At 53.0% G+C, this 27,355-nt stretch overlaps 1 protein-coding gene and 1 long non-coding RNA gene across 4 annotated transcripts in view, besides 10 other annotated features; one reads left to right on the top strand and one right to left on the bottom strand.

Moving 5' to 3' along the window:
* The window catches only part of KCP (kielin cysteine rich BMP regulator), a 33,845-nt gene that overhangs the window by 4,556 nt on the left and 1,934 nt on the right, over nucleotides 1-27,355 (bottom strand). The window contains exons 2-31 of one of the 2 annotated variants that reach the window (NM_001366122.1): nucleotides 27,006-27,148; nucleotides 25,844-26,033; nucleotides 25,681-25,757; nucleotides 24,859-24,943; nucleotides 22,636-22,718; nucleotides 22,307-22,400; nucleotides 21,357-21,439; nucleotides 12,780-12,873; nucleotides 12,556-12,635; nucleotides 12,386-12,479; nucleotides 11,971-12,056; nucleotides 11,818-11,899; nucleotides 11,449-11,601; nucleotides 11,268-11,374; nucleotides 11,094-11,187; nucleotides 10,226-10,399; nucleotides 10,031-10,113; nucleotides 9,765-9,858; nucleotides 9,485-9,676; nucleotides 8,923-9,093; nucleotides 7,443-7,619; nucleotides 5,795-5,880; nucleotides 5,456-5,546; nucleotides 5,235-5,317; nucleotides 5,044-5,137; nucleotides 3,677-3,850; nucleotides 3,361-3,443; nucleotides 2,582-2,702; nucleotides 517-596; nucleotides 206-305 (exon numbers count right to left, since the gene is read on the bottom strand). In NM_001366122.1, coding sequence (NP_001353051.1) covers nucleotides 206-305; nucleotides 517-596; nucleotides 2,582-2,702; nucleotides 3,361-3,443; nucleotides 3,677-3,850; nucleotides 5,044-5,137; nucleotides 5,235-5,317; nucleotides 5,456-5,546; nucleotides 5,795-5,880; nucleotides 7,443-7,619; nucleotides 8,923-9,093; nucleotides 9,485-9,676; nucleotides 9,765-9,858; nucleotides 10,031-10,113; nucleotides 10,226-10,399; nucleotides 11,094-11,187; nucleotides 11,268-11,374; nucleotides 11,449-11,601; nucleotides 11,818-11,899; nucleotides 11,971-12,056; nucleotides 12,386-12,479; nucleotides 12,556-12,635; nucleotides 12,780-12,873; nucleotides 21,357-21,439; nucleotides 22,307-22,400; nucleotides 22,636-22,718; nucleotides 24,859-24,943; nucleotides 25,681-25,757; nucleotides 25,844-26,033; nucleotides 27,006-27,148 — 3,348 coding nt within the window. Of the gene's footprint in view, nucleotides 1-205; nucleotides 306-516; nucleotides 597-2,581; nucleotides 2,703-3,360; nucleotides 3,444-3,676; nucleotides 3,851-5,043; nucleotides 5,138-5,234; nucleotides 5,318-5,455; nucleotides 5,547-5,794; nucleotides 5,881-7,442; nucleotides 7,620-8,526; nucleotides 9,094-9,484; nucleotides 9,677-9,764; nucleotides 9,859-10,030; nucleotides 10,114-10,225; nucleotides 10,400-11,093; nucleotides 11,188-11,267; nucleotides 11,375-11,448; nucleotides 11,602-11,817; nucleotides 11,900-11,970; nucleotides 12,057-12,385; nucleotides 12,480-12,555; nucleotides 12,636-12,779; nucleotides 12,874-21,356; nucleotides 21,440-22,306; nucleotides 22,401-22,635; nucleotides 22,719-24,858; nucleotides 24,944-25,680; nucleotides 25,758-25,843; nucleotides 26,034-27,005; nucleotides 27,149-27,355 lie in introns of those variants that run through there. The other variant, NM_199349.3, reaches the window with a different exon arrangement.
* Nucleotides 2,215-2,509: a silencer, noted in NCBI's record as "tiled region #1680; HepG2 Repressive DNase unmatched - State 1:Tss". NCBI's record gives its function as "represses a minimal TATA promoter and a strong SV40 promoter by Sharpr-MPRA in HepG2 cells {active_cell/tissue: HepG2}" and the evidence as "EXISTENCE:reporter gene assay evidence [ECO:0000049][PMID:27701403]".
* Nucleotides 2,255-2,364: an enhancer, noted in NCBI's record as "active region_26606". NCBI's record gives its function as "activates an Ori minimal core promoter by ATAC-STARR-seq in GM12878 lymphoblastoid cells {active_cell/tissue: GM12878}" and the evidence as "EXISTENCE:reporter gene assay evidence [ECO:0000049][PMID:35858748]".
* Nucleotides 2,815-3,074: an enhancer, noted in NCBI's record as "active region_26607". NCBI's record gives its function as "activates an Ori minimal core promoter by ATAC-STARR-seq in GM12878 lymphoblastoid cells {active_cell/tissue: GM12878}" and the evidence as "EXISTENCE:reporter gene assay evidence [ECO:0000049][PMID:35858748]".
* Nucleotides 3,299-3,898: an enhancer, noted in NCBI's record as "H3K4me1 hESC enhancer chr7:128524773-128525372 (GRCh37/hg19 assembly coordinates)". NCBI's record gives its function as "activates a minimal SCP1, AML or CMV promoter by ChIP-STARR-seq in naive H9 embryonic stem cells {active_cell/tissue: H9 hESC(naive)}" and the evidence as "EXISTENCE:reporter gene assay evidence [ECO:0000049][PMID:30033119]".
* Nucleotides 8,522-9,112: an enhancer, noted in NCBI's record as "H3K4me1 hESC enhancer chr7:128529996-128530586 (GRCh37/hg19 assembly coordinates)". NCBI's record gives its function as "activates a minimal SCP1, AML or CMV promoter by ChIP-STARR-seq in naive H9 embryonic stem cells {active_cell/tissue: H9 hESC(naive)}" and the evidence as "EXISTENCE:reporter gene assay evidence [ECO:0000049][PMID:30033119]".
* Nucleotides 9,113-9,702: an enhancer, noted in NCBI's record as "H3K27ac-H3K4me1 hESC enhancer chr7:128530587-128531176 (GRCh37/hg19 assembly coordinates)". NCBI's record gives its function as "activates a minimal SCP1, AML or CMV promoter by ChIP-STARR-seq in naive H9 embryonic stem cells {active_cell/tissue: H9 hESC(naive)}" and the evidence as "EXISTENCE:reporter gene assay evidence [ECO:0000049][PMID:30033119]".
* Nucleotides 9,703-10,293: an enhancer, noted in NCBI's record as "H3K27ac-H3K4me1 hESC enhancer chr7:128531177-128531767 (GRCh37/hg19 assembly coordinates)". NCBI's record gives its function as "activates a minimal SCP1, AML or CMV promoter by ChIP-STARR-seq in naive H9 embryonic stem cells {active_cell/tissue: H9 hESC(naive)}" and the evidence as "EXISTENCE:reporter gene assay evidence [ECO:0000049][PMID:30033119]".
* Nucleotides 9,809-19,505, top strand: LOC105375497 (uncharacterized). 2 transcript variants are annotated; one of them, XR_927958.2, is made up of 4 exons: nucleotides 9,809-9,883; nucleotides 14,556-14,696; nucleotides 18,357-18,542; nucleotides 19,244-19,505. It is a non-coding gene; the product is annotated as an uncharacterized LOC105375497 (long non-coding RNA). The 2 variants fall into 2 exon arrangements; XR_007060517.1 differs by lacking the exons at nucleotides 9,809-9,883; nucleotides 14,556-14,696 and adding an exon at nucleotides 15,678-15,901.
* Nucleotides 11,243-12,443: an enhancer, noted in NCBI's record as "CDK7 strongly-dependent group 2 enhancer chr7:128532717-128533916 (GRCh37/hg19 assembly coordinates)". NCBI's record gives its function as "activates an origin of replication core promoter dependent on BRD2, BRD4, P300/CBP, MED14 and CDK7 cofactors, with strong dependence on CDK7, by STARR-seq in HCT116 cells {active_cell/tissue: HCT116}" and the evidence as "EXISTENCE:reporter gene assay evidence [ECO:0000049][PMID:35650434]".
* Nucleotides 22,433-22,938: an enhancer, noted in NCBI's record as "H3K4me1 hESC enhancer chr7:128543906-128544411 (GRCh37/hg19 assembly coordinates)". NCBI's record gives its function as "activates a minimal SCP1, AML or CMV promoter by ChIP-STARR-seq in naive H9 embryonic stem cells {active_cell/tissue: H9 hESC(naive)}" and the evidence as "EXISTENCE:reporter gene assay evidence [ECO:0000049][PMID:30033119]".
* Nucleotides 22,939-23,443: an enhancer, noted in NCBI's record as "H3K4me1 hESC enhancer chr7:128544412-128544916 (GRCh37/hg19 assembly coordinates)". NCBI's record gives its function as "activates a minimal SCP1, AML or CMV promoter by ChIP-STARR-seq in naive H9 embryonic stem cells {active_cell/tissue: H9 hESC(naive)}" and the evidence as "EXISTENCE:reporter gene assay evidence [ECO:0000049][PMID:30033119]".

The raw sequence follows: 27,355 nt of genomic DNA on the forward strand, positions 1-27,355 counted from the left end.
TTCATCCCAGCTTCCCCCTGCCTCATGGGTCTCTTCTCCACCTCAAGAACAGCCCCCCTCCATTTCTAGAAAAGAATGAACCCTGCATTCTGTTCTAGAAACCGAGTACAAACCCTGGGCTGCCCGCTTGGCCCATGAATGCCTCCCCTTCCTGTGTTCCCCCTGGGCTCCTCTCTGAGGGTGGAGGCCAAGGCTGGGCACTTACCCCGGCATACGGGGCAGCAGCTCCCAGGGGGAGTGTGGCGCTCTGAGAGGGGACAGCTGAGCTCAGGACAAGCCTGGTGGATGCAGAGCCATGTCAGGTCCTGCCCATGTGAACACAAGAGGTAGAGAATGGCAGATCTCAGGGAGCTGGTGGAGGAGTAAGGCATAGGCAGGATGTGACAGTCAGGACAAGTGGGCAAATGTCAGGGCGAATGGAGAGCCCTGGAGCTGCTGCGGGAGAGGAGTGGCAGCCACAGCCCACAGAGAAGGAAGAAGAGGGGCTCTGTGAGTCCCCAAGGCAGGAGGGCTCACCTGGCACTGGCACGTGTAGCAGGGGTCTGGTGGGGCTAGCTCAGATCCCAGCAGGCCCTCTGAACAGTTACTCAAGGCCTCTGTGAAGACAAGAATCCAGAGTGCGGGACAGAAAGAGGGGCACAGGGCTGGAAATCCCAGCTGTCCCCATGCACTGTGTCCCCAGGTTTCTAACTCGAACTCCTGAGCATACCCATATCCCAGCACCTTGACTCCAGGGAGGATAAGTCCTCTTTCTCTTCAATTCAGTCAAGTTTACACGTTTTAAAAGAAACTTTGCTAGGCTATTATTTGGGGCCGGGTGGGGGTGCAAGGTGACTGGAAACAGACCAACCATGGCTTCCTTAGCCTGAGGTCACTAAAAATGGCCAGTCTGCGGCCTGCTCTCCCTCCCGCTATCTGTAATACAGTGTGGCTACAACTGCGCAGGGAAGCACACAGCCAGGCATCCCGGGTTCGAATCCTGATGCCAGCACTCAGTGCCTGTGCTTATTAGGTTGGATTAATCCACCTCTCTGAGCCTCAGTTTCTTAATCTGTAAAAAGAGATTAATAATACTTCCCTCACTGGGTAACTATGAAAATGAAGCGAGAGACTTTATTAAGAGCACCAAGTACAGTCTGTGGCATGGAACAGGTGCTTAATCAATGTTAGTCTTCTTCCCTTCCCCTGAAGCACCCCCTAGCAAGTGTTGATCAGAGCAGCCCTCCCTGATGGATGCCAGGGATGACTGCACAGCATTATGAACGTATTTAATACCACAAACTGTACACTTAAAAATGGTTAGGATTGTACATTTTAGTGTCTTACCACCATAAAAAACAAACAAACAAACAAACAAACAAAAAACAGAAAAGTCGGCGAGGTGGCTCACACCTGTAATCCAGCTCTTTCGGAGGCTGAGGCGGGTGGATCACCTGAGGTCAGGAGTTCGAGACCAGCCTGGCCAACATGTTAAAACCCCATCTCTACTAAAAATACAAAAATTAGCCAGGCTTGATGGCGCATGCCTATAATCCCAGCTACTCGGGAGGCTGAGGCAGGTGAATCCCTCGAATCCAGAGGTTGCAGTGAGCCGAGATTGTGCCACCGCACTCCAGCCTGTGCGACAAAGCGAGACTCCGTCTCAAAAAAACCAAAACCCAAATAAAAAAACCAAATTGGAGAAAATAGGATTATCATTAAAAAAAAAAGTATGTTTTTTCTTTCTTTTTTTTTTTTTGAGACAGAATCTCGCTCTGTTGCCAGGTTGCAGTGTAGTGGCACCATCTCAGCTCACTGCAACCTCTGCCTCCCGGGTTCAAGCTATCCTCCTGCCTCAGCCTCCCGAGTAGCTGGGACTACAGGCATGCCCCATCATGCCCAGCTAATTTTTGTATTTTTAGTAGAGACGGGGTTTCACCATGTTGGCCAGGATGGTCTCGATCTCTTGACCTTGTGATCCTCCCACCTTGGCCTCCCAAAGTGCTGGGATTACAGGCGTGAGCTACCAACCTCGGCCTGTTTTTTCTATGTAAGGATAACGTTCACCTGTATTGCAAAGGTAGGTTATCATTTCAGTGTTGGTATAGGACCAGAAACAGAAAAAAATTCCCTCCACAACAAATGTAAAATGGCTGTGTTAGGTAAACAACTATTAAATCCAGGAGACAGAAATTGGCCATCTTTCAATATTTGTAATAAAAATAAAACTGTTTCTTTACTTTTCCCCCCAATCTTAATAAATTTTTACTCTAACAACGACAACAAAAAAAGCTCGCCCACCCCTGTGGCTGGGCTACCCCCTGCCTGCCTGGGCCTCACGTCTCAGCACAACTGTCGCCCTGCAGCGCCACCTGCTGGCCAAGATGCTCCACAAACTGCACCCAGCTGCGGAGAGGCAAAGGGTTCCTGTCAGCTTCCCCAGTTCCCTTAGGGATGGTGCAGCCCTCGCCGGCCAGGCATAGGGTTCCAGAACAGTCCACTGGAGTCAGGAAGAATCTGGGGCTGGGACTGGTGAGGAAGGGCGGCAGGGGGTGGCAGCCCTAACCTCATATCTCATCTACCCCCACATCCCTGGACTCACCGGCACAGGTGGGACAGCAGTGCTGGGGCCCAGGGGGCAGGAGCTGGCTGGGGGGGCAGCCCACCAGGCTGGGACACTGCCGCCGGTGACAGCGAAGGCTGGGAGGCCCCTCAGGCTGTGGCTACAAGAATGAGTGAGCAGCGGTGGGTCCTGGGCCACAAAAACCCAGAGCTGCCCTTGGCCGGGACTTCCGGCCCCTCCCTCTGCCTGCTGCAGCCTCTTCCGGGACATGTCTTGGGCCCTGAACTCAAGGCTGAAGAGAGACTCAGTGTCTTCTAGACGTGCTCCTCACCCCATGCCCTAGTCTCTGAGATGATGTCTCCTTCTCCTTTAAGTCACTTGGGCCTGAGCCCTCATGTGACCTTTGATCCTCCGGCAGGCTCATGCCATCCTCCTCCCCAGGCCCATGGCTTAGTACCCTGACCTGTGATGTCATTTGCCTGCTCCAAGCCCTTCCATGGCCTTGCAAATAGAATCTCCACAATATGACCCCTAGCCACGTCCCAGGTGGCTCTCCGGCCATACACACCCGCCCTGCACTGCAGCCAGGGGGGCCACCTACGGCCTCCTGCACACTTGGAACCTGCGCTCCTTGTCTAAACCCAGACCTCCTGGCCCTGTTGGCCCCAACCCTGCCTTGTCTCCTGGCCACAGGGATACACTCCTTTGGCCCCCAGAGTGCCTGCTCCATGCAGTGACCAGCTTGGCTGGGCCTCATCCCATGCTGCCCACTCCCCCCCGACGAGGTGCCCCAGCCCCACCACTGTGCCCTCACCTACCTCGCAGATGCACACTTCACAGGGGTCTGCCCCAGGCTGGAAGCTCTCCCCAGGCTCGTACTTCCGGCCCTCATGCTCACAGTCTTTGGGGTGGAGTGAGAGCAGAACGGGACCAGGGGTCCTTCAGGCTGGCAGCGAGGCAGGGGTGGAGTCCTCTATCTCCAGCCTCCCCCTGATCCCAGGGAGTGGAGTGTGCACAAGGACGGAGGCCACTTCTCCAACTGCCTGTCTCTGCCACCCGGCCCAGCAGCGGCAGGGAGGTGTGGGCCCAGGGCTCCCTCCTCGCCTTTCCCCTCCCGCCCCAGGCTTCCAGTACCAGAGCATTGAGGACAGCAGTCATGGGGCCCTTGGCGGGGCTGGGCGCAAGAGCTGATGCACTGGATGCGTGCACAGGTGACGACGCCCTCGTGACACACACAGGAGGAGCAGGCACTGTCGGGGGGCACCCATCTACTGCCTTCGGGGTGCTCTTCCCCATGAGCCAGGCAGCCTGTGGTGCAAAGTGGGCAGGGACGAGCTCGGAGGTTGAGATCTGGACATCTGCTCCTGGCCCCCACCCTCAGTGGTCAGCTAGGCACGTGGCGCCAGGAGTGAGTTTGCAGGGATATGGCGGGAAGGTGCGATGGGGCAGAACTCCTGTCTGTTGTGGAGGGGAAAGGCACTGGGAGGGGTTCAGAACACCTGGGTTCTAATCCTGTTCTGTTCCTACCTGCTCTCAAGACCAAGCTCCAGGCAGCAGGCACTGCCCAGTGCAGCCCGCACCGGCCACAGACCTGGCATGCAGCAGCTGTGTCATAAATGCATGTGGACCAGGTGAATGGCTCCATCGCTAACCATGTGCCCAAGGTAACTCAGTCTCTCCGGGCCTCAGTCTCCTCATCTGTTAAATGGGGATTTCCTCTGTCCTGCCTCCCTCCCAGAGCAAGTGAAATGCTATGACAGTTCTGTGGTTCTGTAGAAACACCACCACACTGCGCAGGGTGTGGGACGAGGGGGCAGTGGGCAGGCTAAGAAAGGCTCAAGTTCAGAGCCAGATGGTCCAAGTGTCCATCTTGACTCTGCCACCTTCTCTACCTCTCTGTACCTCCACTTTCTCGTCTGTAAAATAGGAGGACTAAGAGTGCTTATCTGGTAAGTTGTTGTGCTGATTAAATGAGATAATACACGTAAAGTGCTCAGGGCCTGGCACATGCTACCTGCTCACTGAATGTCAGGTATCTTGATGATGATGATGATGGTGGTGATGATGATGATGATGATGAATGGGGTGTGGTTAGGAAGAGGGGCAGCTTTTTGTTTTATTTTTTAGACAGAGTCTTCTTTGTTGCCCAGGCTGGAGCACAGTGGTGCAAATGCAGCTCACTGCAGCCTCAAACTCCTGGGTTCAAGTGATCCTCCCACCTTGGCCTCCCAAAGTGCTGGGATTGCAAATGTGAGCCGCTGCACCCAGCCCAAGACAGGCAGCTTTGAGGGAACTCTAACCAGCACCTGGAAGAGGGATGGTCTGGGCAGTCCCGGACAGGGAGAGGTAGGAGAAGCTGAAGGTGGCAAGGGTGTATGCAAGGGCCAGTTGTTGGGGCAGGGAGGTGGGAGAAGAGCTGGCTGAGGGGAGGGAGGTGGGGTGGACAGAGGGACACAGGGCCAAGGGGCTGAAGCAAGGGGTAGGGCTACAGGCGGCCATACCTCTGCAGCGAGGGCAGCAGCTCCCCCGCTCGGTGACCTGGAGCTTGCAGGGAAGGGGTGGGCACTGCAGCCGCACACAGCTGACCTGGCCAGCCTGTAGGAGATGCAGGGACACTGGCTCGCTGCCTAGGCTGGGGCCCAGAGGTGCTATGGTCCAGCTGTCACTCCACACCCCCCACCTCCTGCTATACCTGACAGCGACACCACTCACAGCTGCCTGCTGGTCCCTCAAACTCCTCCCCATCCTGGTGCTCCCGGCCCTGAGAGAGACAGCCTGTGGGGGACACACCTCCTGGGTGGGGGGCCTGTGCCACCCTGCCCTGCTCGGCCCAGCCTTAGGCCTGGCAGGAAGGGAAGGGGGAGGGAGAGGCGGGGAAGGGCATGGGGGCCGCGCATGAGGAAGGCAGCTCACTGTGGCAAACAGGGCAGAAGCAGGGGCCTGGAGAGGGGTGGGGGCAGAGAGCTGGGGGACATGGCTTCTTCTGGCAGCGCATGGAACCTTCCTGGGGGAGAGAGGCCCATCACACCCTCAACTGGACTGCACATTTCCCCAGGGCTGGAGCCCCTACTGAGCCTGCAGGGGCCCAAACACCCTCCCTTGGCCCGGGACACCTGAGCCCAGTCCTGTCCCATGAGATGTGAAGGGCAGAGTGTAGCCCTTGCCACCTGAGTGGAGGAGACAGCCTCTTCCTGGCCAGAGAGGAGTATCAAGGGAGGAAAGGTTACCAAGGTCCTAAAGGGGCTGCCTCACCTGGCAGGTGCAGAGGGAGCAGGTAGGGTCAAGTGGGTCAGGAAGGGTCTCTCCGGAGGCAGTAGTGACGCCATGGTAGCGGCATCCTGGCAGAGCGGGGAGTCCAACAGAAGAGCTGCCATCAACAGAACCTCCACTGTCACACACACACACAGCCCCTCCCCCTCCACACATACACAGCCACAGCCACAGACACACACATAGCCACACACACACATACCCATATACACAGCCACACCCACAACCACATACACACACACAGCCACACACATACATACACGCATATACACACAGCAGGTGGGAGTGCAACAGAAAACCTGCCATCAACAGAACTGCCACTGTCACATACACACACAGCCCCTCCCCCTCCACACATACACACACAGCCACACCTACACCCCCCCACACACAGCCACACACACATACATACACAACCACACCCACATATACATACAGCCACACACACACATACACACATATACCCATATACACACACAGCCATAGACACACACAGCCACACCCACACTCTCATACACACACACATAAACACACAGCCACACACACACATACACGCACCCACATACACACATACCCATATACACAGCCACATACACACACACACACACACATACACACATACCCACCTACACACAGCCACACAAACATACACATAGCCACGCACACACATACACATACACACCCACACACACAGCCATACAAACACATAGCCACACACACATCCCCACATACACAGATGCACACACACCCACACACAGAGACCCCCCCACATACACACCCACACACAGCCACACACACACATACACACACACACACACACATCCCACATACACAGACACAAATACAGACACACACACACATACCCACATACACACAGCTACAGCCATACACACACACACACACACACAGGGCCACACACACATACACAGCCACACAAACACACATATACACACAGTCACACATACACACACAGATACACAGCCACACACACAGATACACAGACACACATACGGTCACACACACACGTACACAGACACACATACACTGTCACACACACAGAGCAACACACACACACAGATACACCCACACAGAGCAACACACACACACACACACACATACACAGATACACCCAAACACACAGGCCAACACACACAGCCACACACAGATACACACATACACACATACAGCAACACATACACACACATATACACACGGCCACACACACACAGAGCAACACACACACACAGATACACAGATACACCCACACAGGCCAACACACACAGCCACACACAGATACACACATACACACATACAGCAACACATACATACACACACATATACACACGGCCACACACACACAGAGCCACACACACACAGCCAGACACACACACACACATACAGACACACACACATACACAGCCACACACACACAGAGCCACACATACACACACACATACATACAAACACACAGCCGTGCCCGGGACCTCTATCAAAGGTGAGGGAGTCGGAGAGTGAGAGAAAAGTATGGTGGAGCGGCAGGCAGTGGGAGGGCTGGGAGGAAAGTGGAATCGGTGAGAAAGGCACCCCGGGAGCCCCAGCAGGGGGAATGGAAGGGCAGGTGTGGCTCTACCCTGGCAGGTCGGGCAGCAGTGCCCAGAGGGGATGAGTGGGTGGCTGCAGCCCGGAGGCTCACAGGGCCGGCGGCCGCAGGTCACGAAGCCTCCAAGACAGGTACACAGGTTGCAGGGTTCTCGGGGGTCTGGGAACTCCTGGTTACTCAGGTAGGACTCCCCCAGGTACTCACAGCCTTTCAGAGAAGAGACAGAGAGGCCGAGGGGAGGGACAGAAAGGGATGAGAGGGCAGTGGTCATAGGCTCTGAGCTTGGGCCTGTTATGCATCCAAGATCTCAAAGATCTAGCGTGGGGGCTGGGGGGTCACAGGCCAAGCCCAGGGGGCAAAGCAGTCGTGAGGGGGGCGGGGTTTGGATTGGCCAAAAGGCAAACTTTCTCCCCTTTATCCTGCAAAAAACCTTCCTGTTTAATTTGTAGAAAAACACCCACAAGGAATCTGCTGCCCCTGGGGTTAAATACTCAGCAGGCCATTGCCAGAGGCACCAGTTTCCCAACCCGGAGAGCTGGGAGTAGCCCCAGCTGACTCAGGTGGTGTGGACCCAAGGTAGCGCCTTTCCCACGCTCTTCCGAGCCCACTGATGAATCCAGGAAGGGGTGGGGTCCCAGGGTGGTGACAGCCCGCTCTTGGCACCTCTGCCATTTGCTCACCTCCCTTTTTAAAAAAGAAGGGTGAATTTCAGGCTCAAAGCCTTGGTGGGCAAAAGTATCTGACAAGGATTTAACAACATTATAATTTTAATTATATTCATTTTTATGGTAATGTGGTCCTGGCAAGTCTAATTTTCCACTTACAGTGTGATATAAAACTCCTTTCTAAATCAAATTAAATTAATAAGTGAGTTAATTGGAAGGCAAATAGTAAATAAAATTACAGTTGGTAAGGGCAAGTGGCCAAAATGGCCAAGATCGCACAAGAGTGAGGGAAGACAGGGGGACTGGGGGACTGGGTCTTTTTACAAGAGCCAAATTTAGGCCCAGAGAGGCTATGTAACTTGCCCAAGACCACACGGCAAATAGCAACAGAGGCAGGAGAAGATCCAGGCTTTAGTGTCAGGCTTTTTTTTTTTTTTTTTTTTTTTTTTGAGACAAGGTCTCACTCTGTCACCCAGCCTGGAGTGCAGTGGTGAAAACACGGTTCACTGTAGCCTCAAACTCCTGGGCAATCCTCCCACCTCAGCCTCCGGAGTAGATGGAACTACAAGAGGCACCACGACCAGCTGATTTTAAATTTTTTGTGTAGAGACAAGATCTCTCTATGTTGCCCAGGCTGGTCTTGAACTCCTGGGCTCAAGTGATCCTCCTGCCTCAGCCTCCCAAATTGTCGGGGTCACAGGCTTCAGCTAGGGCTCCCAGCCTCGGGGCTTTTTCTTACTGTAATAAATATTTTAGATCCACCCTAGGGCAGTAAAGATTATTCTGACCCAGCCCTCTGGTCTCCCGCATCCCACCCCGGCAGCTCCCTATCCCATGACCCTCACCATCACAGTCAGGGCAGCAGTCGCCCCTGGCAGGGAAGGGGCACAGTGCAGGGGCACATGCCTTGGGCTCGCAGCTCACGCTGCCCTCCCAGCAAAGGCAGAGGTGGCAGGCAGCAGTGGGCGATGGGAAGCGCTCCCCGCTGGCAAACTCCTTCCCCTGGTACAGGCAGCCTGGGGAGAAGGGCAGGGGCTGGGGGGCCGTGGGGACTAGAGGGCTGTGGGGACTTGGTGGTCGTGGGGTTGAGGGGCGTGGAGGACGGGTGTCGTGGGGGCCGTGGGGGCTGGAGGTCGTGGGGGCTGGGGGTCCGTGAGGGCGGGGAGGCCGTGGGCTCCGTGGAGGCTGAGGTCCGTGGAGGATGGGTGTCGTGGGGGGCTGGGGGCCGTGGGGGATGGAGGGCCGTGCCGGCTGGCTCCCAGGCCATGCTGACCGGACACTACATTCCTAACAAGATCCCCGACGTGGGCGGAGCGGGCCTGGAGGAAGGGGACTGGGCAGGGCGCTCCGGGGCGGGGCGGGGCGGCAGGACGCGGGTGGCCGGGAGGGGCACCGCCAGGGCGTTACCGTCGCAGGAGGGGCAGCAAGGCCCCTGGCGCGGGTGCGCGCAGGGCGCGGGCGGGCAGGGCAGCCGCTGGCAGGACACGGAGCCGTCGAGGCAGAGGCAGCGGCGGCAGGGATCGCCGGGCGGGGAGAAGTACTCCTGGTGGCGGGCGTGGGCCGCGCCGGGCCGTGGGCAGCCGGCGGGGGCTGGGGCGGCTGCGGCGAGACAGCGCATCAAAGGGGCCCAGGAACAGGCCTCCGAGGGGACCCCCAGGGAGGAGCAGCCGAGGGGTGCGGCCCCTACCTGGGCACTGCGGGCAGCACTCTCCCGGCAGCAGGACAGGCTCTGGACAGGGCAGCGGCACGCAGCGGCGGGCCAGGCACTGCACGTTGCCGCTCTACGGACCGACAGACGCACCACGGGTCAGTGGGTTAGTTGGGGGAGGCCGAGGAGACCCCTCCCACCCAGTGCCACCAGGTCCCACCCCTCCCACCTGGGCGGGCCTCTCCTGGCCTCTGCAAGTCCCGCCTCCACTCCCCTGGGCGCCTCCCACCCAGGTGCAGACTCACCAGACAGCGACACAGACGGCAGGGGTCAGAGGGGTGGGGGAAGTCCGCTCCGCTGGGGTACTCTTTCCCGCCAAAGGCACAGCCTGGGGGAGGGAGGGGCTATAGCCTGGGAGAGGGCGACTGCCCCAGGGCGTGCTGCCTTCCGGGGGCCATGCCATCCCATCCCAGAAGGCCGCCCTGACCCGCCCACCTCACCGCTGCAGTCGTTCGGGCAGCAGGTCCCAGGCAGCGGGTGGGCACAGGGGGCCCTGGGGCAGGGGCGAGGCTGGCAGTGGGCATGGCCTTCCTGGCATCGGCACTCCTGGCAGGGGTCTCGGGGGTGGGAGAAGCTCTCGCCGTCCACAAACACCTCTTCCTCCAGGATGCAGTCTGGGCAGTGGATGGTGGGGGCAGGTATGAGGGCAAAGCCTGACAGTCCCTCCAGCCCTGGAGTCCAGAGCCGCCACACAAGTGCCCACTTGGAAGCTGACTCGAGGGGAAAGAGGAGGAAGTGGCCATGTGCACATGTGTGCAGGCATGTGTATCGTTGTGAGCACACACGAGTGTGCGTGCGCATTGGGGGTCATTCACCTGCAGGCAGATGTGTGTCTCTGAGGGGAAGAAGGGGAGTGCTTACACATGTGTGTACCTGTGTTTGACACACGCCCTCACACAGACTCTCTATGCGGGCAGGGACGTGTCCCATGCATCCCAGCACCCGGCCTCCTACGTGGCAGGCTCAAGTGCCTGCTCATGAACCTGTGTTATCCAGGTAGATACATGGGTTTACCTGGGGGGTAGGGGGGTGGGGGCCCTAGCGTGGTGGGGCGGGGGGCAGTAGTTACTAGAAGAGGAAATGGAGCATGGGAGGAGAGGGTGGTGTAGGTACAGGCAGGAATAAACAAATCTCTCTACTCTCCCTCCCACCCACACCCCGTGAGTTCCAGAGAGTTCTAAGCTCTGAAACAAGACTGAAACAATTCAGAAGGCCATTGCTTTCTAAGGTACCTGTTGGGCCCATGGGGCTGTGGGACAGCAGCCTCTGGGGCCCTGATCCCCTCAGGCCCAGTGAGTGCCCACATACCTGGGCACCTGGGGCAACACTGGCCTGGTCCACTCTGGGGCCTGGCACAGGTCGTGGGAGGGCAGTCAACCAAGGAGCATGTCACAGTTCCATCCTGCGAGAGAGCAGGGGAGAGAGCAATCGGGGCATGCCCAGGAGGGGCTCAGCAGGGCAGCAGCAAGGCTGGGCAGTTACCTGACAGTGGCAGGCATGGCAAGGGCTGTCTGCATCCGTGAAGTTCTGCCCATTGGCATACACTTGGCTGTGGTAGGTGCAGCTGTCACAGCTGGGGCAGCAGGCACCTGGGTGGGGCAGGCTGGTCAGGGTGAGCTGGGTAATGCAGGGGAAGAAAGCCAGGATCAGCCCAGGCACTCACCAGGGGGCTGGGTGGGGTGCTGGCAGGGGGCTGGGGGGCAGAGCACAGCCCCGCACTTGGGTACCCCATCTTGACAGACGCAGGCGGTGCAGGGCCGACCATCAGGCTCCCACTGGACTCCCTCAGCAAACTCCTCTCCATCCAGCTCACAGGCTGTAGTAAGGGGGCTGTCACATGGCAGCCTACACACCTCCCACCCATCCCTGTCCTTCCCAGGACACAGGGACCCCACCTTCGCCATCCCCGCTGACACTGTAGAATGGCTAGTGGACTTAGCAACCCGTACCCCGTCCTGGGAAGGAGCACCCTCCTTCTGCAGCCCTCAGAGGCAGCGCCCATAGCAGCTGCTCCTCCCCCTCTCACACACACCTGGGCAGAGCTGGCGGCCAGAGGCAGGCAGGGCACAGGGGGTGACTGGGCACTCCTGCTCCTCACAGGAGACCTCGCCAGCCTAGGAGGGAAGCAGGTGAGACACCCTGAAGGAATGAGGCAGATCTGGGTGTGAGCGGAGGGACCGCCTACCTGGCAGGAGCAGCGGACACAGAGGCCCCGCTCTTGGAGTCTGAAGGTCTCCTGGCTCTGATACTGGTGTCCCTGGTACTCACAGCCTGGATGGGATGACAGGGGCGTGGGGGTATAGGGCTGGAGGCAGAGGGGAAGCTTCACGTCACCCTGAGGTGTCCAACCCCCACCCTGACAAAGAAGACCCAGCCGAGTTCTCCAGGGCGCCCTGCCAGCAGCCCCCTGCCCCCCACAGCTATGCCACAGAAGCGCAGGCCCCAGCATGGTGCCAGTTTGCCATGAGAAGGTGTGGTGAGGACTCACTTTGGGAACAGGGTAACAGGGGCTTAGGTCCAAGAGAAGCAAATCCCCCACACCTACAGCCTCTCTGCAGCCAAGGCCTGCCCCTCCCGCAGAGACCCCGGCCCCCACTCACCATCGCAGACAGGGCAGCACTGCCCAGGGATCTTGCCTGGGTGTCTGCAGGGCACTGGCGGGCAGGGCAGAGGCTCACACTGGACACTCCCATTCTGCCAACAGGGCCTGGTCAGCACGCCAGAGGCAGGCCCCGGAGCCAGGCCCTCCCTGCCAGGCAGCCACACTCACAGCACAGCGGCAGTGCGAGCAGGGGTCCCCTGAGCCCACAGGCTCCCCGCTGCGGTGCTCCCGCCCGTTTAGGAAACAGCCTGTTGGGAAGGGGGGCCTTAGATGTTCCTCAGGGGCCCCTCCCCACCCTCTCCTGGCCTTCATGGGCCCCCGAGCAGGGCCACCCATCAATTTTCTCCAGGTTGCCCACCATGGTCAGGCCTCTGCCCTACCCACTGACTCACCATCACACACAGGGCAGCAGGTGCCTGGGAGGGGCCGGGCTGGGTATGGACACAGGCTGGCACATTCTCGCTGGCGGCACTGGATGTGACCCTCCTGGTGGGGAGAATGAACAGGGGAAGGGGCCGACAGGGCTCAACTGAGAGGTGGAAATGGCATTAGAATCCCAGCTATCCACTTATTAGATGTGTTTATGGGTTGAATTGTGTGTCCCCGCCCCCAAATCCATATGTTGAACTCCTCACCCCCAGCACCTCAGCCTGTTACACTATTTGGAAACAGGGTCATTGCAGATGTAATTAGTTAAGATGAGGTCATACTGGAGCAGGATGGGTCCCTAATTCAATATAACTAGTATCTTTTTTTTTTGAGATGATAAAAAAGACTTGCTGATAAAACAAGTTGCAGGTTTGCAGGTTGCAGGTTGAGATGGAGTTTTGCTCTTGTTGCCCAGGCTGGAATGCAATGGTGTGATCTCAGCTCACTGTAACCTCCACCTCCTGGGTTCAAGCGATTCTCCTGCCTCAGCCTCCCAAGTAGCTGGGATTACAGGCACGCACCACCATGCCCAGCTAATTTTTTATATTTTTAGTAGAGATGGGGTTTCACCATGTTGGCCAGGCTGGTCTCAAACTCCTGGCCTCAGGTGATCCACCTGTCTTGGTCTCCCAAAGTGCTGGGTTTACAGGTGTGAGCCACTGTTCCAGGCAATATCCTTCTAAAAAGGGGAAATTCACACACAGACACACACAGGGAGAATGGTATGGAAAAGAGAAGGCAGAGGTTCAGGTGCTGCAGAAGCCAAGGAATGCCAGAGTTCACTAGCAAATCACCAGAAGCGAGGGCAGAGGCTGGAGCAGATTCCTCCTCACAGTCCCAGAAGGAACCCTCCCACACCTTGATCTCACACTTCTGGCCTCCAGAACTGTGAGAGAATATATTTACATTGTTCAAGACACCCAGTATGCACTTATGCACTTTGTTACAGCAGCCCAGGAAACTCATACAGATACATAAACTAGCATGTCACTTAAGCTCTCTGTGACTCAGTTTACTCGTCTGAAAAAAAATGGACCTGAAAAAATAGTCCTGTTCTCATAGGCTTGTTGTGGGATGAAAGGAAACAAGGGGGCTGGTGTGGCATCTACCTCTAGAAGCTGGTACTTAGCATGGTGGCTACTGCCACTACCCCATGGCCTGACCCCAAAAGACCCCATGCCTTGAATTCACACCCACATCACTGGGCTCACTGCCTCCAGCCCCATCAGGGTCTGAGCAGCCAATGACTTCTCATGGGTGGGGAGAGGGAGGACGTGGTTGTGTCAGAGGCGTTTGAACCAAAGCAACTCCATCTTGAATAGGGGCTAGGTAAAATGAGGCTGAGACCTACTGGGCTGTATTCCCAGATGGTTAGGCATTCTAAGTCACAGGATGACAAAAGAGGTCGGCACAAAATACAGATCATAAAGACCTTGCTGATAGAACAGGTTGCAGCCAAAACCCACCAAAACCAAGATGGCAATGAGAGTGACCTCTGGTCGTCCTCACTGCTACACTCCCATCAGTGCCAAGACAGTTTACAAATGCCATGGCAATGTCAGGAAGTTACCCTATGTGGTCTAGAAGGGGGCATCATGAATAATCCACCCCTTGTTTAGCATATCATCAATAAATAACCATAAAAATGGGCAACCAGCAGCCCTCAGGGCTGCTCTGTCTATGGAGTAGCCATTCTTTTACTCCTTTACTTTCCTAATAAACTTGCTTTCACTTTATAGACTCACCCTGAATTTTTTCTTGTGCAAGATCCAAGAACCCTTTCTTGGGGTCTGGATCAGGACTCCTTTCCTGTAACATCTTTCTGGCGACCACTGAAGGGATGATAGTGCGGAAACCCCCGACCCAAAGGCTAATTTTTGGTAAGTGGTGGGGTCTGGTAATATCTTTCTGGTGAGCCATGGAAGGGACAATACTGAAGAAACCCCCCGACCAGAAGGAAATAGGCTGCAGCACTGACTGGCGGACTGTGGGTAAGTGGGGTGCATATACCCGGGTAAATAATGGGATTGGGTTAGAGGCCCAGCTTAGGGGAATTAGAGGCCTCTCTTAATAAAAGGCAAGGATGCTTGATGGACCTTGGGATAGAGGCCCAACTGGGGAGGGTTACAGTCCCTTCTAATATTTAGAGGGTTAGAGGCCCCTCTGGGTAAAATCCCTCCCGGTTAAGAATGGGTTTGGCACTACGGGATGTTAACTGCTATTCTCTTGGGATTAATCTGCCTTGTACTCTTTGCTGACGGCTATGGGTGACAGGATTAGGCAAGTACAGGATCGTGGGACATGCGGAGCTTTTTCCTCCCTAAAAGGGAAAACTTAAGAGCTAATAGGACTGCCAAAAAAGATCCCTCCATGGCCGGTCGCGGTGGCTCACACACCTGTAATCCCAGCACTTTGGGAGGCCGAGGAGGGCGGATCACGAGGTCAAGAGATTGAGACCATCCTGGCCAACACGGTGAAACTCCGTCTCTACTAAAAATACAAAAATTAGCTGGGCGTGGTGGCACACGCCTGTAGTCCCAGCTACTTGGGAGGCTGAGGCAGGAGAATCACTTGAAACCGGGAGGCAGAAGTTGCAGTGAGCTGAGATGGCGCCATTTCACTCCAGCCTGGCGACAGAGCAAGACTCCATCTCAAAAAAAAAAAAAAAAAAAAAAAAAATTCCCTTCTCTACCGATACACAGCCATCCAAACTTTTGAGCAATAGGTGGGTCTTTCTCTGGCCTCCCTGAGCACTTTGCCTTTCCCACTCTGCCTCAGGCAATGTGTCCCCCTGTGCCCTCCACTGCAAGCTGGGTGAATGAATAGTAATAATCACTGTTTATTTCCTCTGCAAAGTTTTGATTAATGGAAAAGAAGAATGTGTGAGCTAGTCTTAAGCTATAGTGAATCTGGTATGCTTTGTGTGTCTTTCTGTATTGTTCTGTCATAAAGAAAGGTACCTTAGAATAGAACACAGGCTTAGGACACCTGTAAGCCTGCTTTGCAAGACAGCCCAGCAAACTTGTCAGTTACAAACTTTGCTGCAAGTCCCTGAAAAATAACTGGATAAGGTTTCCCTTGTCTTGTATGTCCTTGGGAACTTGACCTTGTAACCACATGGCAGTACTTTCTCTTGGTCTCTGCCATCACAATGGTGACTTGGGTTCAGGGTTCAGCTCACAACTTAGAGGATGAGTCCTTTATCTTCTTTCGTCTGTGTATTTATATGTGTTGTGTGTGTGATGTTTATATAGAAAAGAGCTTTAACTAATTGGTTTAATAAGAGCTTATTTTGTCAGAAAAGTAAAAAGTCTAATGCCTTTTAGTTCATGTGACTTAAGTAATCTTTGGGAAATAAGGACAGTTTTAAAGATTATTGATAAAATAAAAATATCTTCAAAAATGTAGACATTTGGTCTAAATTATGCAGGTCAGATATTAGGTTTGCTAAATGCTTTAAGGTCATAACCTGCTTCTTTGACTTTTGAAAATTATCCAATTTATTTTGGAGCTTTAGATTCTAGATAAGGCCTGGGGACATGTGGAATTAGCCATGTCTCCTAGCTATGCAAAGAAGGTTATAAAGCAAAGAGATTTTATATAAGAAAGGATCTTGTGTGGTAAACTCTTGTCCTAAAGTAAAATGACTGGTTGTTTAAAAAGAGGAATGTTTAGGACAAGTCAGAAAGTCCCAAGCATATTGTAGATTGTCTGTGTGAGTCATGAAAGAATTCATGAAAGGGAATTTATGCAAGAAATGTTGTACAATTTAAAGGTTGTTAGGCCTCCTAAATGTGTCATAAAATGCCACTGTGACTATTTTTTTCTTTTTTTTTTTGAGACAGTCTCACTCTTTTCACCCAGGCTGGAGTGCAATGGTGCGATCTTGGCTCACTGCAACCTCTGCCTCCTGGGTTCAAGCCAGTCTCCTGCCTCAGCTTCCTGAGTAGGTGGAAGTATAGGCATGCACCAGCATGCCCAGCTAATTTTTGTATTTTTAGTAGAGATGGGGTTTCACCATGTTGCCCAGGCTGGTCTCAAACCACTGACCTCAAGTGATCTGCCCACCTTGGCCTCCCAAAGTGCAGGGATTACAGGTGTGAACCACAGCACCCAGCCCCACTATGACTCTTAACTATACAACTTGCCTGCTTTACAGTTAGGTAAGGCCTGGGACATGTGGAGTTTGCCACACCCCTAGCTGTGCTGGAAAATGTCAGACCTTATTCTGCACTTCTGCCTGGTGTGTCCTAGGCTAGGCTCCACACCTAGTACATAGTTAAAATCCTGAACTTACCAAGGTTTTCACCAAAAGTAAAAGTTGCTAAGGATTAACACTGTAACATGTAATTGAGACTACTGAAAAAGCAGTTCTACATGCAAGGCATGTAAGAAAAGTAGAATGTGCTTTTGGTAAAAGATTATAAAAAGTCATGGGAATGTGGGTTTCTAGCCTAAGTTTAGAGAGTTAAAGGATTGTTTTAAGTTAGATAGAATAAAGCTGAAGGTTTGAGCAAGTTGTGGAAGGTTTGTGAAAAATTAATCTTGTAAAAGAAATTGTGTGTGAACATATTGGTTAAAGTTAAAGGGGTATTATTCAGTTTTTCTGTAAATTGAGCATTGGAATAAAAGTACAACAGGTTTTTCTTAAAGCAAAACCTGCTTGTAATCTGCTCTTTAACAAAAATTTGTAAAGGGTTATAAAACATTTATAAAAATCTTACCTTATAGTCAAACTGATTAAGAAATATATTTGTCTATAAGGTTTTATTAAGAATTGGGTTTGACATCAATAATGCACCCGTGCAACAGTGACATTTGGCTTATTTGGTATAAAAGTCATATGGGAAGTATTGTCAAATATGAAATGGTATTTGGTTTTCTTTGGGCTGTATTTGTATAAATGTGTTACTGGTATGTGTTCCAAAATTATAAGAAACTCCTATAATGCTGATATGACTTAGTGTATGTTATTAATAATTATAATTGTTATGTGAAATTATTATATGCCACAAGAGTAACCAAATTTCCTTATCAATTGTGGCTTTAATAGCGGCTGTCCTAAAACTTTTTGCCATCCATAAACAATTGTTGTCTTGTTTTAACCCTCTTTAAAAGGTGGTTTTATAACCAACTATAGGACTTCAACAGGTGCTCTTAAATGCAGGTTTTCTGATAACTTTGGAGATTGTGACATCAGAATAGAAGAAAAAACTTTCAGAACTCAGAGAGCTGAGCTGAAATGTTCATGAGTATCAAACAGAAGTTAACTGCATGGACTCTGACATTATCTATTTGACTTTTTGCTCAAAACATTGCTGATCCTTTGTTTTGTTTTTCATAGTCAAGGACACTTTTTCTGAGCTATTTACAGCTTTTGGCAATTGAGTAAAGTATACTCCTGTGAACAAAATTGGAGCATATTTATTTCTCTCTACCTAATTTATCCAGAATTTGGAAACTATTTGTGAGTATTCTTAATTTATGGCAATATAGCTATTTGCATGAGTGCAATAAGAATCTGTTTTCTTTTGTAACAGGTCACAATTGGAGAAACTGGCTATTTTACCAAGGCTTCGACTGGAATGGCATACCTTAAGGAATCATGTAAGGAATCATGATTCCTTAAGGAATCAAATTTGACTTGTAGAGCCAATAAATGCCCCTTGGAGAAACCGGCCTCATACCTTGCCTACACAGTCTCTGTACAGGGTTTCTGACCTGTGGTAAGTAAAGAATGTCACTTTCTAACAGGCCCAGGAGCCCCAAGTTATCTTGGAACCTCAAAAGGAGAGGAATTTACTCAACTCATAGGTATTTTAGGGCACAAACCCATGGCAAGGCTTGGCTCAAAAAAAAATCTTATCTGAGATTCTTTATGAAACAGAGTTCCATCAAAGCCAATTTCAAAGAGCTTATATAAAAAATAATCATTCTTGCGGCACTTTATACAAATAATCAGGCCAAATATAATAAAGCAAGTCAGTGTTACCATGATTAGTCTTTAGTAAAAATGGGAAACTAGAGACAGAAATATTATATTTCAAGAACTATGGTATACTTGTTATTAAATTCTAGTCTCAGCAGTTGTTTTTAAGTTTTTGCAATTTAGACTGATTGCTTGCTCCTGTGACCCAACCAGAGCTCTCTGGCTGCTGCTCAAAAGAAACAAAAAGGACAGGTTATGTAAAAATCTGGAGTCAATATTCTAATTCTGGGCATGTACTGGAATCATCTAGCAACCCCATATCAGCTTGGTTCCAACAGTTGCCCAGTTCATGGAAAGCCTTCTGATTTAATTTACTTGAGATAATTTTACTGATTTTGCTTTACTCTTGTGGAATATATTTCTGTTGTACTCTTTGGGTAGGAATAAGGATAAGCTTACTCAACGTTTTCTTAAATTAAACTTTTATTAATCTTCCAGATATCAACTTTTGTTGGAACTCAGAGTTATGAATGGCCCTCGCCATGCCGATGCTTTCTGATTAAGCACCTCTGTACCCTGAACACAAGAGAGAGAGACCCTAATAGTTAGGCAGGAATATCATTGCCCCTATTCAGCCTGAAGAAATTACAAAAGATGGATTTTTGTCCCTCTGCACCCCTTAGGATCAAGGGTTCTCTTATAAAAGGGAGAGGGAAAATGTCAGAGGCATTTGAACCAGAGCAACTCCATCTTAAATAGGAGCTGGATAAAAATGAGGCTGAGACCTACTGGGCTGCATTCCCAGATGGTTAGGCATTCTAAGTCACAGGATGAGATAGGAGGTCAGCACAAGATATAGGTCATAAAGACCTTGCTGATAACACAGGTTGCAGTAAAGAAGCCAGCTAAATGCCACCAAAACCAAGATGGCGACGAGAGTGACCTCTGGTTGTCCTCACTGCTATACTCCCACCAGGGCCATGATAGTTTACAAATGCCATGGCAATGTCAGGAAGTTACCCTATATGGTCTAAAAAGGGGAGGCATGAATAATCCACTCCTTTTTTAGCATATCATCAAGAAATAACCATAAAAATGGGCAACCAGCAGCCCTCAGGGCTGCTCTGTCTATGGAGTAGCCATTCTTTTATTCCTCTACTTTCTTAATAAACTGCTTTTGGCCGGGCGTGGTGGCTCACGCCTGTAATCCCAGCACTGTGGGAGGCAGAGGGGGGCGGATCACGAGGTCAGGAGATCGAGACCATCCTGGCTAACACAGTGAAACCCTGTCTCTACTAAAAATACAAAAAATTAGCCAGGCGTGTTGGCGGGCGCCTGTAGTCCCAGCTACTCGGGATACGGAGGCAGGAGAATGGCGTGAACCTGGAAGGCGGAGCTTGCCGTGAGCCAAGATCACGCCACTGCACTCCAGCCTGGATGACAGAGCAAGACTCCGCCTCAAAAAAAAAAAACACATAAACTTGCTTTCACCTTTCTCTATGGACTTGCCCTGAATTCTTTCTTGCGCGAGATCCAAGAACCCTCTTTTGGGGTCTGGATTGGGACCCCTTTCCTGTAACAATTGCAGTGGGGTTGGGTGCCCTGTAGCTTTCGCACAGAGTCCTTAGTCCTCAGCAAGCTGTCAGGAAGCTCCCATGAAACACAGCCCTCCTCAGGTGCCCCCACCTGGCCTTCACGGCTTACATGTCCCTACCTCCCCCAGGCTATTCCTTATATCTGGGGTACGTTCCCCTCTTTTTCCCTGCTCAAATCCTACTTACCCTTTGAGGCCTAAGTAAACACCACCCCACCCATGAAGATGTTCTAGATCTGTGCTGCCCGGTAGAAATACAATGTTAACCACTTATGTCATTTTAAGTGCTCCAGCAAATGTTAATGTTTTTTAATTTTTTGAGACAAAGTCTTGCTACATTGCCCAGGCTGGTCTCAAACTCTTGGGCTCAAGTGATCCTCCTGCCTCAGCCTCCCAAGGTGCTGGGATCACAGTCATGAGCCACCATGCTCAGCCTCACAAATATTTAAAAGTAAAACAAAACAGATGAAATTAATTTTAACAACATATTTCATTTGGTCCAATGTATCCAAACTGTTATTTCAACATGTAATCAACATATAATGGATTACTATTTTACATTCCCCTATTTCATAGGAAGTCTTTGAAATCTGGCATGTATTTTACACTTATGGCACATCTCATTTTGAACCTGGCCACATGTCAAGTGCTCAGTAGCCACAGGTAGTAGTGGCTGTGAATTGGACAGCACAGTTTTAGATGCCTCAGGTCAAACCGTGATTCCCCTACTCTGGAGCTTTTGCCGCTCGCCATATCCTGCCCGGTCTCCTTCTCTAGCCTGTGAGCTCCTTGAGTTCATTCACTAACCCGGGCTGAGCACCTCTTGGGCTCAGAGCTGGGCACGCAGATGAGCTCTGCCCAGCCCCCGCCTGCACAGCCCCCAGCAGACAGCGCCTAGGTCTTCTCCACTGGGTCCCCTCTCAACACCTCTGCGAAGTACTCCATAGAATGAGCAAATGAATACAGTGGGCCTGAGGGCAGGGAGGGGGACAGACCAGGAGCAGCCTCAGGACTCACCAGGCACCGGCAGATTCGGCAGGGGTCCCCAGGTGTTGTCCACTCTTGGCCATGTTCCCAGTGAGAGCCACCTTCTGTGCAGCCTAGGGTTGAGGGGTTGAGAAGAGGGAGGCCTGGTGGGAGCTGGCCTGGACCCCAGCCTCAGCCTGCCCGCCTTCCTTGTCCACATGCCCTCTGAGGGCTCTCTCCCGAGCCAAGACTAGATGGGGTCAGATCTCTGCCTAGATTCCCCAGTGGCTCCCAGTGCCCCAGGCAGGGTGAGGCCTCAGTTCCTTAGCCCGCCCTTTCTGGTCTTCCGTGGACAGAGCATAGCCACACCCATGTGCCCCACCTATCTCTGGCCCCTCGTCACCTCTCACACCTTCCCAGCCAACATTGCACACTCACCCTCCGTGTCAGGGCCACGCCTGTGCTTGATTTCTCCCCTCTTCCTAGAAGGCTCACTGCCTTCCTCAGCCCTTCACCAAGCTAACTTTTCTTTATCCTTAAGGGCCACCTGGGGACCAGCTGCCTCCAGGACGCTTTCCCTCCTGTGCCCAGGCTGGATTCGGTCTCCTTCCTCTGAATTCGCACACTAGCTGGTGCCTGCTTCTATTCCTGCCCTTGGCTGTTACAAGATTTTGCATTAGTGTATGACTCAGTGTCACACTCTAGGGGTCATCCCTGAGGGCTGACCCCATGTCTCATGATTGGGGAGCACAAAGTAGAAAGCAAACATTTATTAAGCTGCACTATGAGGCATGGAATATCATTATCTGCACCTTACACATGGGGAAATTGAGGAAGAGAGTCACACAAGCACTAGGTGGCAATGGCAGAATTTGAGCTCAGGCATTCCAGCTCCGCCACGGACCAAACCCACTGGAGGCCGGCAAGGTGGGCTCTGGAATTCAAGAAATGGCACGACAACCTACCTGTGGCTCTACCAGGGAGGGGCCAGGGGCTCTCACCTTGGCAGGTTGGGCAGCAGTGCCCAGGCCTCAGCACTGGCTCTGGGCAGGGGCTAGGCGGGCACTTCAGGGCCATGCAGCGAACTCGGCTCCTCTGTAATGCACCAGTGGCTGTGAGGCTTCAGGTCTGGCTCCCGCAGAGGGCTGGGTGGGCGGGTGTTGGGCACCCTCGGAGGAGGGGGGCACAGGGCAGGGATGGAGGGAGAACCTAGCTGGCTCCACCTCTCGGGAGGCATGTGAGGGGGCTGGAGGAGTGGCAGGCAGGGCCCAGGGCAGGGCAGGTGTCCAGGGAGGTGCAGGGCCTGGGCAGAGGGGACAGGTGGACTCACCAGGCAGGTGCACTGTAGACAAGGGTTGGAGCTGGACAGGAAGGTGACCCCCTCCTCATAAAGCTGCCCCTCATAATCACAGCCTGGGAAGGTTGGCAGGATGACAAGTGGGTCACCAGGCAGCAGGGTGGGTGGACATCACTTGAGGTAAGGCATGACCCCAAGTAGGTACTGGACCCTTGGGGTTGAAGGGATGGCGGGGCAGGGCAGGACAGGGCAGGAGGTCACCGGGCCGGCAGATGGGGCAGCACTCCCCAGGTGGGGTGCAGCTCTCCAAGCAGTTGAGCTCTGAACACGAGGGCCCCTGGCACTGCACGGCTCCTGTCTGCAGGGCAGACACTGAGCCAGCCCTCCCTTCCCCCACCATCCTCCCTCTTTCTCTCTCTCCTGCTCTCCCTCCTCGTCCCTTCCTGTTCCATCCCTCTCCTTTGCCAGAGCTGGCTTACTCTGCAGGCCTAGCAGGCTTCAGCCCTGATGCCTGGGCAGTGGCAGTAGCAGCCCTGCCTAGCCCCCACATTTGGGCTTGGCATGGTCAGGCCGGCAGTCTGCCCAGCAGCAGGGATGTGGGTGGTGGCTGATTCCTTTACCTGGCAGGTGCAGATGACACAGGGCCCTGGATGCCATGTTTCCCCAACCCCGTGGCCCTGGGGCAGCCTGGAAAACCAGGCCCAGACCCCCAAGTAAGAGACCCAAAGGACTGGGTGCCACATTAAAGGGGCACCATTCACGTGACAGACATCAGAGACTTTGATATTTACTACCCCTTTCCAGCAGATGGCAGTAAAGTGTCCGATAGGCACATCATCAGCATGGTTCCATTATTTTACAACAGATGGAAGTAGTGTCTTGAGGAAAGGGTGCCTTTTAAAATTTCACCAAAGACATCATATAGGCTAGCAGTGGCCCTGAGGCACCACGTGCCCTGAAGAGTGTGTGTGTGTGTGTTGGGGGAGCGGGGGTCAGGGGTCTTTTCTTTGTGTGTCTTTTCTTTGAGATCCATCAACCCCCAAGATTTTAGTCCTCATCTCCAGCCAGCACTCCAGGCTGCATTTCCAGACCCAACTGGTCTGAGTCCTTGTCCCACCTTTCTTACTACCAACTGAGACTCCTCTCTCGGAGGGGCTTCCAGATGAAATATAGGATGCCCAGTAAAATTTGAACTTCAGAAGAATAAGACGTCAATTTTAGTATAAGAATGTCCTAAATATTGCATAGGATATACCTATACTAAAAACTTACATGCCGTTTATTGAAATTAAGATTTAACAAAGCATTCTAGACTTTCATTTGCTAAATCTGGCAACACTATCACCTTATGAGCCAGTAACACCCCCCTGCATAGCCATGACCTCCTCTTCCTCCCAGCTCTCTTCATGTCCCCAGCACCACTGCTATCCTAGTGTCCCAAGCTCGGCCTCCACTATTCCAGGGGACCCAGCCAGTCACCGGCTCCTGCCCGTCCTTTAGAAACATCCCCCTTTCTCCAGCCCACTGCCATCCCTGGCTCCATGCCTAGACAACTGCTGTCACAGCCCCGACGCCTCTGTCTGCATCTAGCCCTCACCAGGTGAATATTCCTCAAGCGCCCCCTTGACCATGCCACACGCTGCTTCAGCCTTCAATACCCCCCACTGCCCATAGAAAAAAGTCCTAATTGCAAGGCTTACAGCAGCCTGTTCCCACTGGCCTTCCCACATGGACTTCCTGCAACCCACCTCTCTCCACCCTGTCCTTGTGCCCAGAGGAACCTCACGTACTCCCTCTCCTTCAGGTGGAACCCCACTTTCCCATGAAGACCCAGCTCAAAGGACCCATTGTCTGTAAAGGCCCCCTGACTGCCCAGCCTCGACGGGCTTCCCCTGCCTCCTGTGCCCTCCTCTGGCAAAATACACACTGCACTGCCTTCTACACCTCCTCTTAATCTGCTCATTGGGTCTTCAATCTTGTGGTAGCTTGGCTATGAGCTTATCTTCTCAACTAGATTGGAGGCTCCCTGAGGGCAGGAAAAAGATTTTGTGCCTGTTTCCCTATGGTCTCTGGCTCAGTCCCAGGCCAGAGCCAGTATTTGCTGATTTGTGCATGGGTTCTGCACTCCCCTGGCCACTGTCAGAGTGAGTGGGTAGGCACCCCTGGGCATGTCCCAGACTCACTGAGGTGGCAGGCTGTGTCTGTGGGCCAGAGAAGGCAAGCAGGAGGTGGGGCTGAGACTGGCAGGAGGCTGACCTGGCTTACAGTGCGGGCAGCATGCTCCTGGCTCAGGGCAGGGTCCTCTTGGGCATGGCTTCTGGTTGCAAGTGATGGTACCTTCCTGTGGGAGCAGACTGAGGTGGCTGCACAGACATCAGATTCCTGGAGGGCAGGGCCTCTGGAAGTAAAACCTCAGCCCAGGCTGGGACATGTCATAGGGGCAAGAGGATGAGTTGGCTCTGTGGATGTGGGCTACCCTCTGTGTAAAGGCAGAAAAGAGACATCCCGCCCCCACTCCCATCGTCTCCTGATGCTCTTAACCCTAGGAAACCATCTCTTCCAGGTGCCAGCACATTCCCCAGAGAGGGGAGATCCTAGGAAGAAGACCGAAGACTTTCTCAGGGAGGAAGGAGGAAGGAAAGACTGGGGGAAGGTGGATGTGGCAACTGGTGAGGGAGAATAGGCAGGCCAGGGGGTTCCGAAGTAGAAGATGGGCAGTGGAAGAGTGGGAGGTGATATAGGAGGACAAGCAACTATTAAGTTGGTGCAAAAGTAATTGCGGTTTTTGCCATTAAAAGTCATGTCAAAAACCGCAATTACTTTTGCACCAACCTAATACATTCTCTGCCCTCCATGCCACTGTTGGCCAGGTCTGAATTGAGTGGCTTGGGGACCCCCCAGTGTCCGTGGGCATTGAGCTCCTTTTCCTACTCGGAATCAACTGAAAGCCACCGTGGCAAGGTGTGGGAGTGGCAGGCAGAGCCCATTATGCGACATCTTGAGTGCCACGCTGCAGTGACAGGTAGCTGGAGAGAGGCAGACAGGTGAGGGATATCCAGGTAGGTCCTGGGAGCTTACCAGACAGCGGCAGGTGGTGCAGGCATCTGGGGAGAAGGTCTCCCCGTTGCCGTAGGTCTGGCCATTTTGGCTGCAGCCTAAGGAGACAGCAGTGTCACTCAAGCACCCCATGCCATCTGCAGGTCTTTAGGTGGCCCCAGTGGGCGGATAGGGTGGCACTTACCCCTGCAATGGGGCAGGTGTGCTTGGGGGCCACAGTGAGCGGCCCCATCCTGGCAGACGCAGGCTGTGCAGGCGTCAGGCTCCCAGCGTGCCCCCTCGGGCCAGGCACGCCCCAGCCCCCAGCACTGGGGAGATGCAGGGTGGCACTCACAGGACTCCAGCTGCCTCACCCTCGTCTGCAGGTCCTTATTCTGGAGGAAGGAGATGGAATAGCAGGCACTGGCTCAGCTTCCCCCACCATCTCCAGTAGAGATGAGGGGTGTGAAAATGAGGCAGGATGAGAAAGAAGTTCGCCAATTCCAGAGCAGAGATGGGTCCCCCTCGGTCAGCATCCAGCTCAAACGATCACCATTCTCAGGGGGGCACGGGCCCCAATCTCTCCTTTGGACAAAATGGGGACCCAACCCTTGCCCCAAGAATTAAAGACATCTTTACCCATCCAAAATATTTTTGATGATGCCTTATATAGAATGCATTCCATAACATTCCCCAAATACATGGAACAGTACGAAACACGAACTGACAAAACAAATAGCCTGGAGGTTCTTCATTTGCATGAAAGAATCAATGTTAAGAATTGTTCTGGCCAGGCCTGGTGGCTCACACCTGTAATCCCAGCACTTGGAGAGGCTGAGGCGGGCAGATCACCTAAGGTCAGGAGTTCGAGACCAGCCTGGCCAACGTGGTGAAATCCTATCTCTACTAAAAATACAAAAATTAGCCGGGTATGGTGGTGCACACTTGTAGTCCCAACTACTCAGGAGGCTGAAGCGTAAGAATCACTTGAACCCAGGAGGCAGAGGTTGCAGGGAGCTGAGATTGTGCCACTGCACTCCAGCCTGGGTGACACATGGTGACTCCATCTCAAAAAAAAAAAAAAGAAAGAGAGAGAGAGAAAGAGAGAAGAAGGATGGAAGGAAGGAAGGAAGGAAAAGAAAGAAAAAAAAAGAAAGGAAGGAGGGAAGGAAAGAAGAAAGGAAGAAAGAAAGAAGAAAGAAAGAAAGAAAGAAAGAAAGAAAGAAAGAAAGAAAGAAAGAAAGAAAGGGAATTGTTCAGATAAGAGCTCTATTTTAGGCTCCCCCCTCCAAGCCTAACTCCTTCTCTCCCTCCCACTATGAGAAGCCCTCCTTACCCAATGCAAACCAGCACTGTCTCCATGGTACCTGTTCTCTGAGCTCCATCACTGCAGCCTCCAGTCGCCCCAGCCACTCTCGCAGGGGGTGCCACTGCTCCTGGGAGTTCCCAGCAAGGACTGAGGAATGGGCAGTTGTCTGCTGCCCAGGGGGCTCCCTGGGGACAGCCCCACCTGAAGGGCACAAGAATCCCATGTGGGCCTGAGGGTGAGGGGCTGGCCTGGCCACATTTTCTGGGTTCTGTCTTCTGACCCACAGGGGAAGGGGGTCATCCTGTGCACCCTGCCCTCTCCAATTGCCCACCCACCATCCAGGGCCGGGAAGCCAGCACAGGCTGAAACGCAGGGGAAGGCCACAGACATGCGCCAGGTGGAGCTGCT

Source organism: Homo sapiens, chromosome 7 (assembly GCF_000001405.40).
Source record: "Homo sapiens chromosome 7, GRCh38.p14 Primary Assembly".
In the NCBI taxonomy this organism is placed as follows: domain Eukaryota; kingdom Metazoa; phylum Chordata; class Mammalia; order Primates; family Hominidae; genus Homo; species Homo sapiens.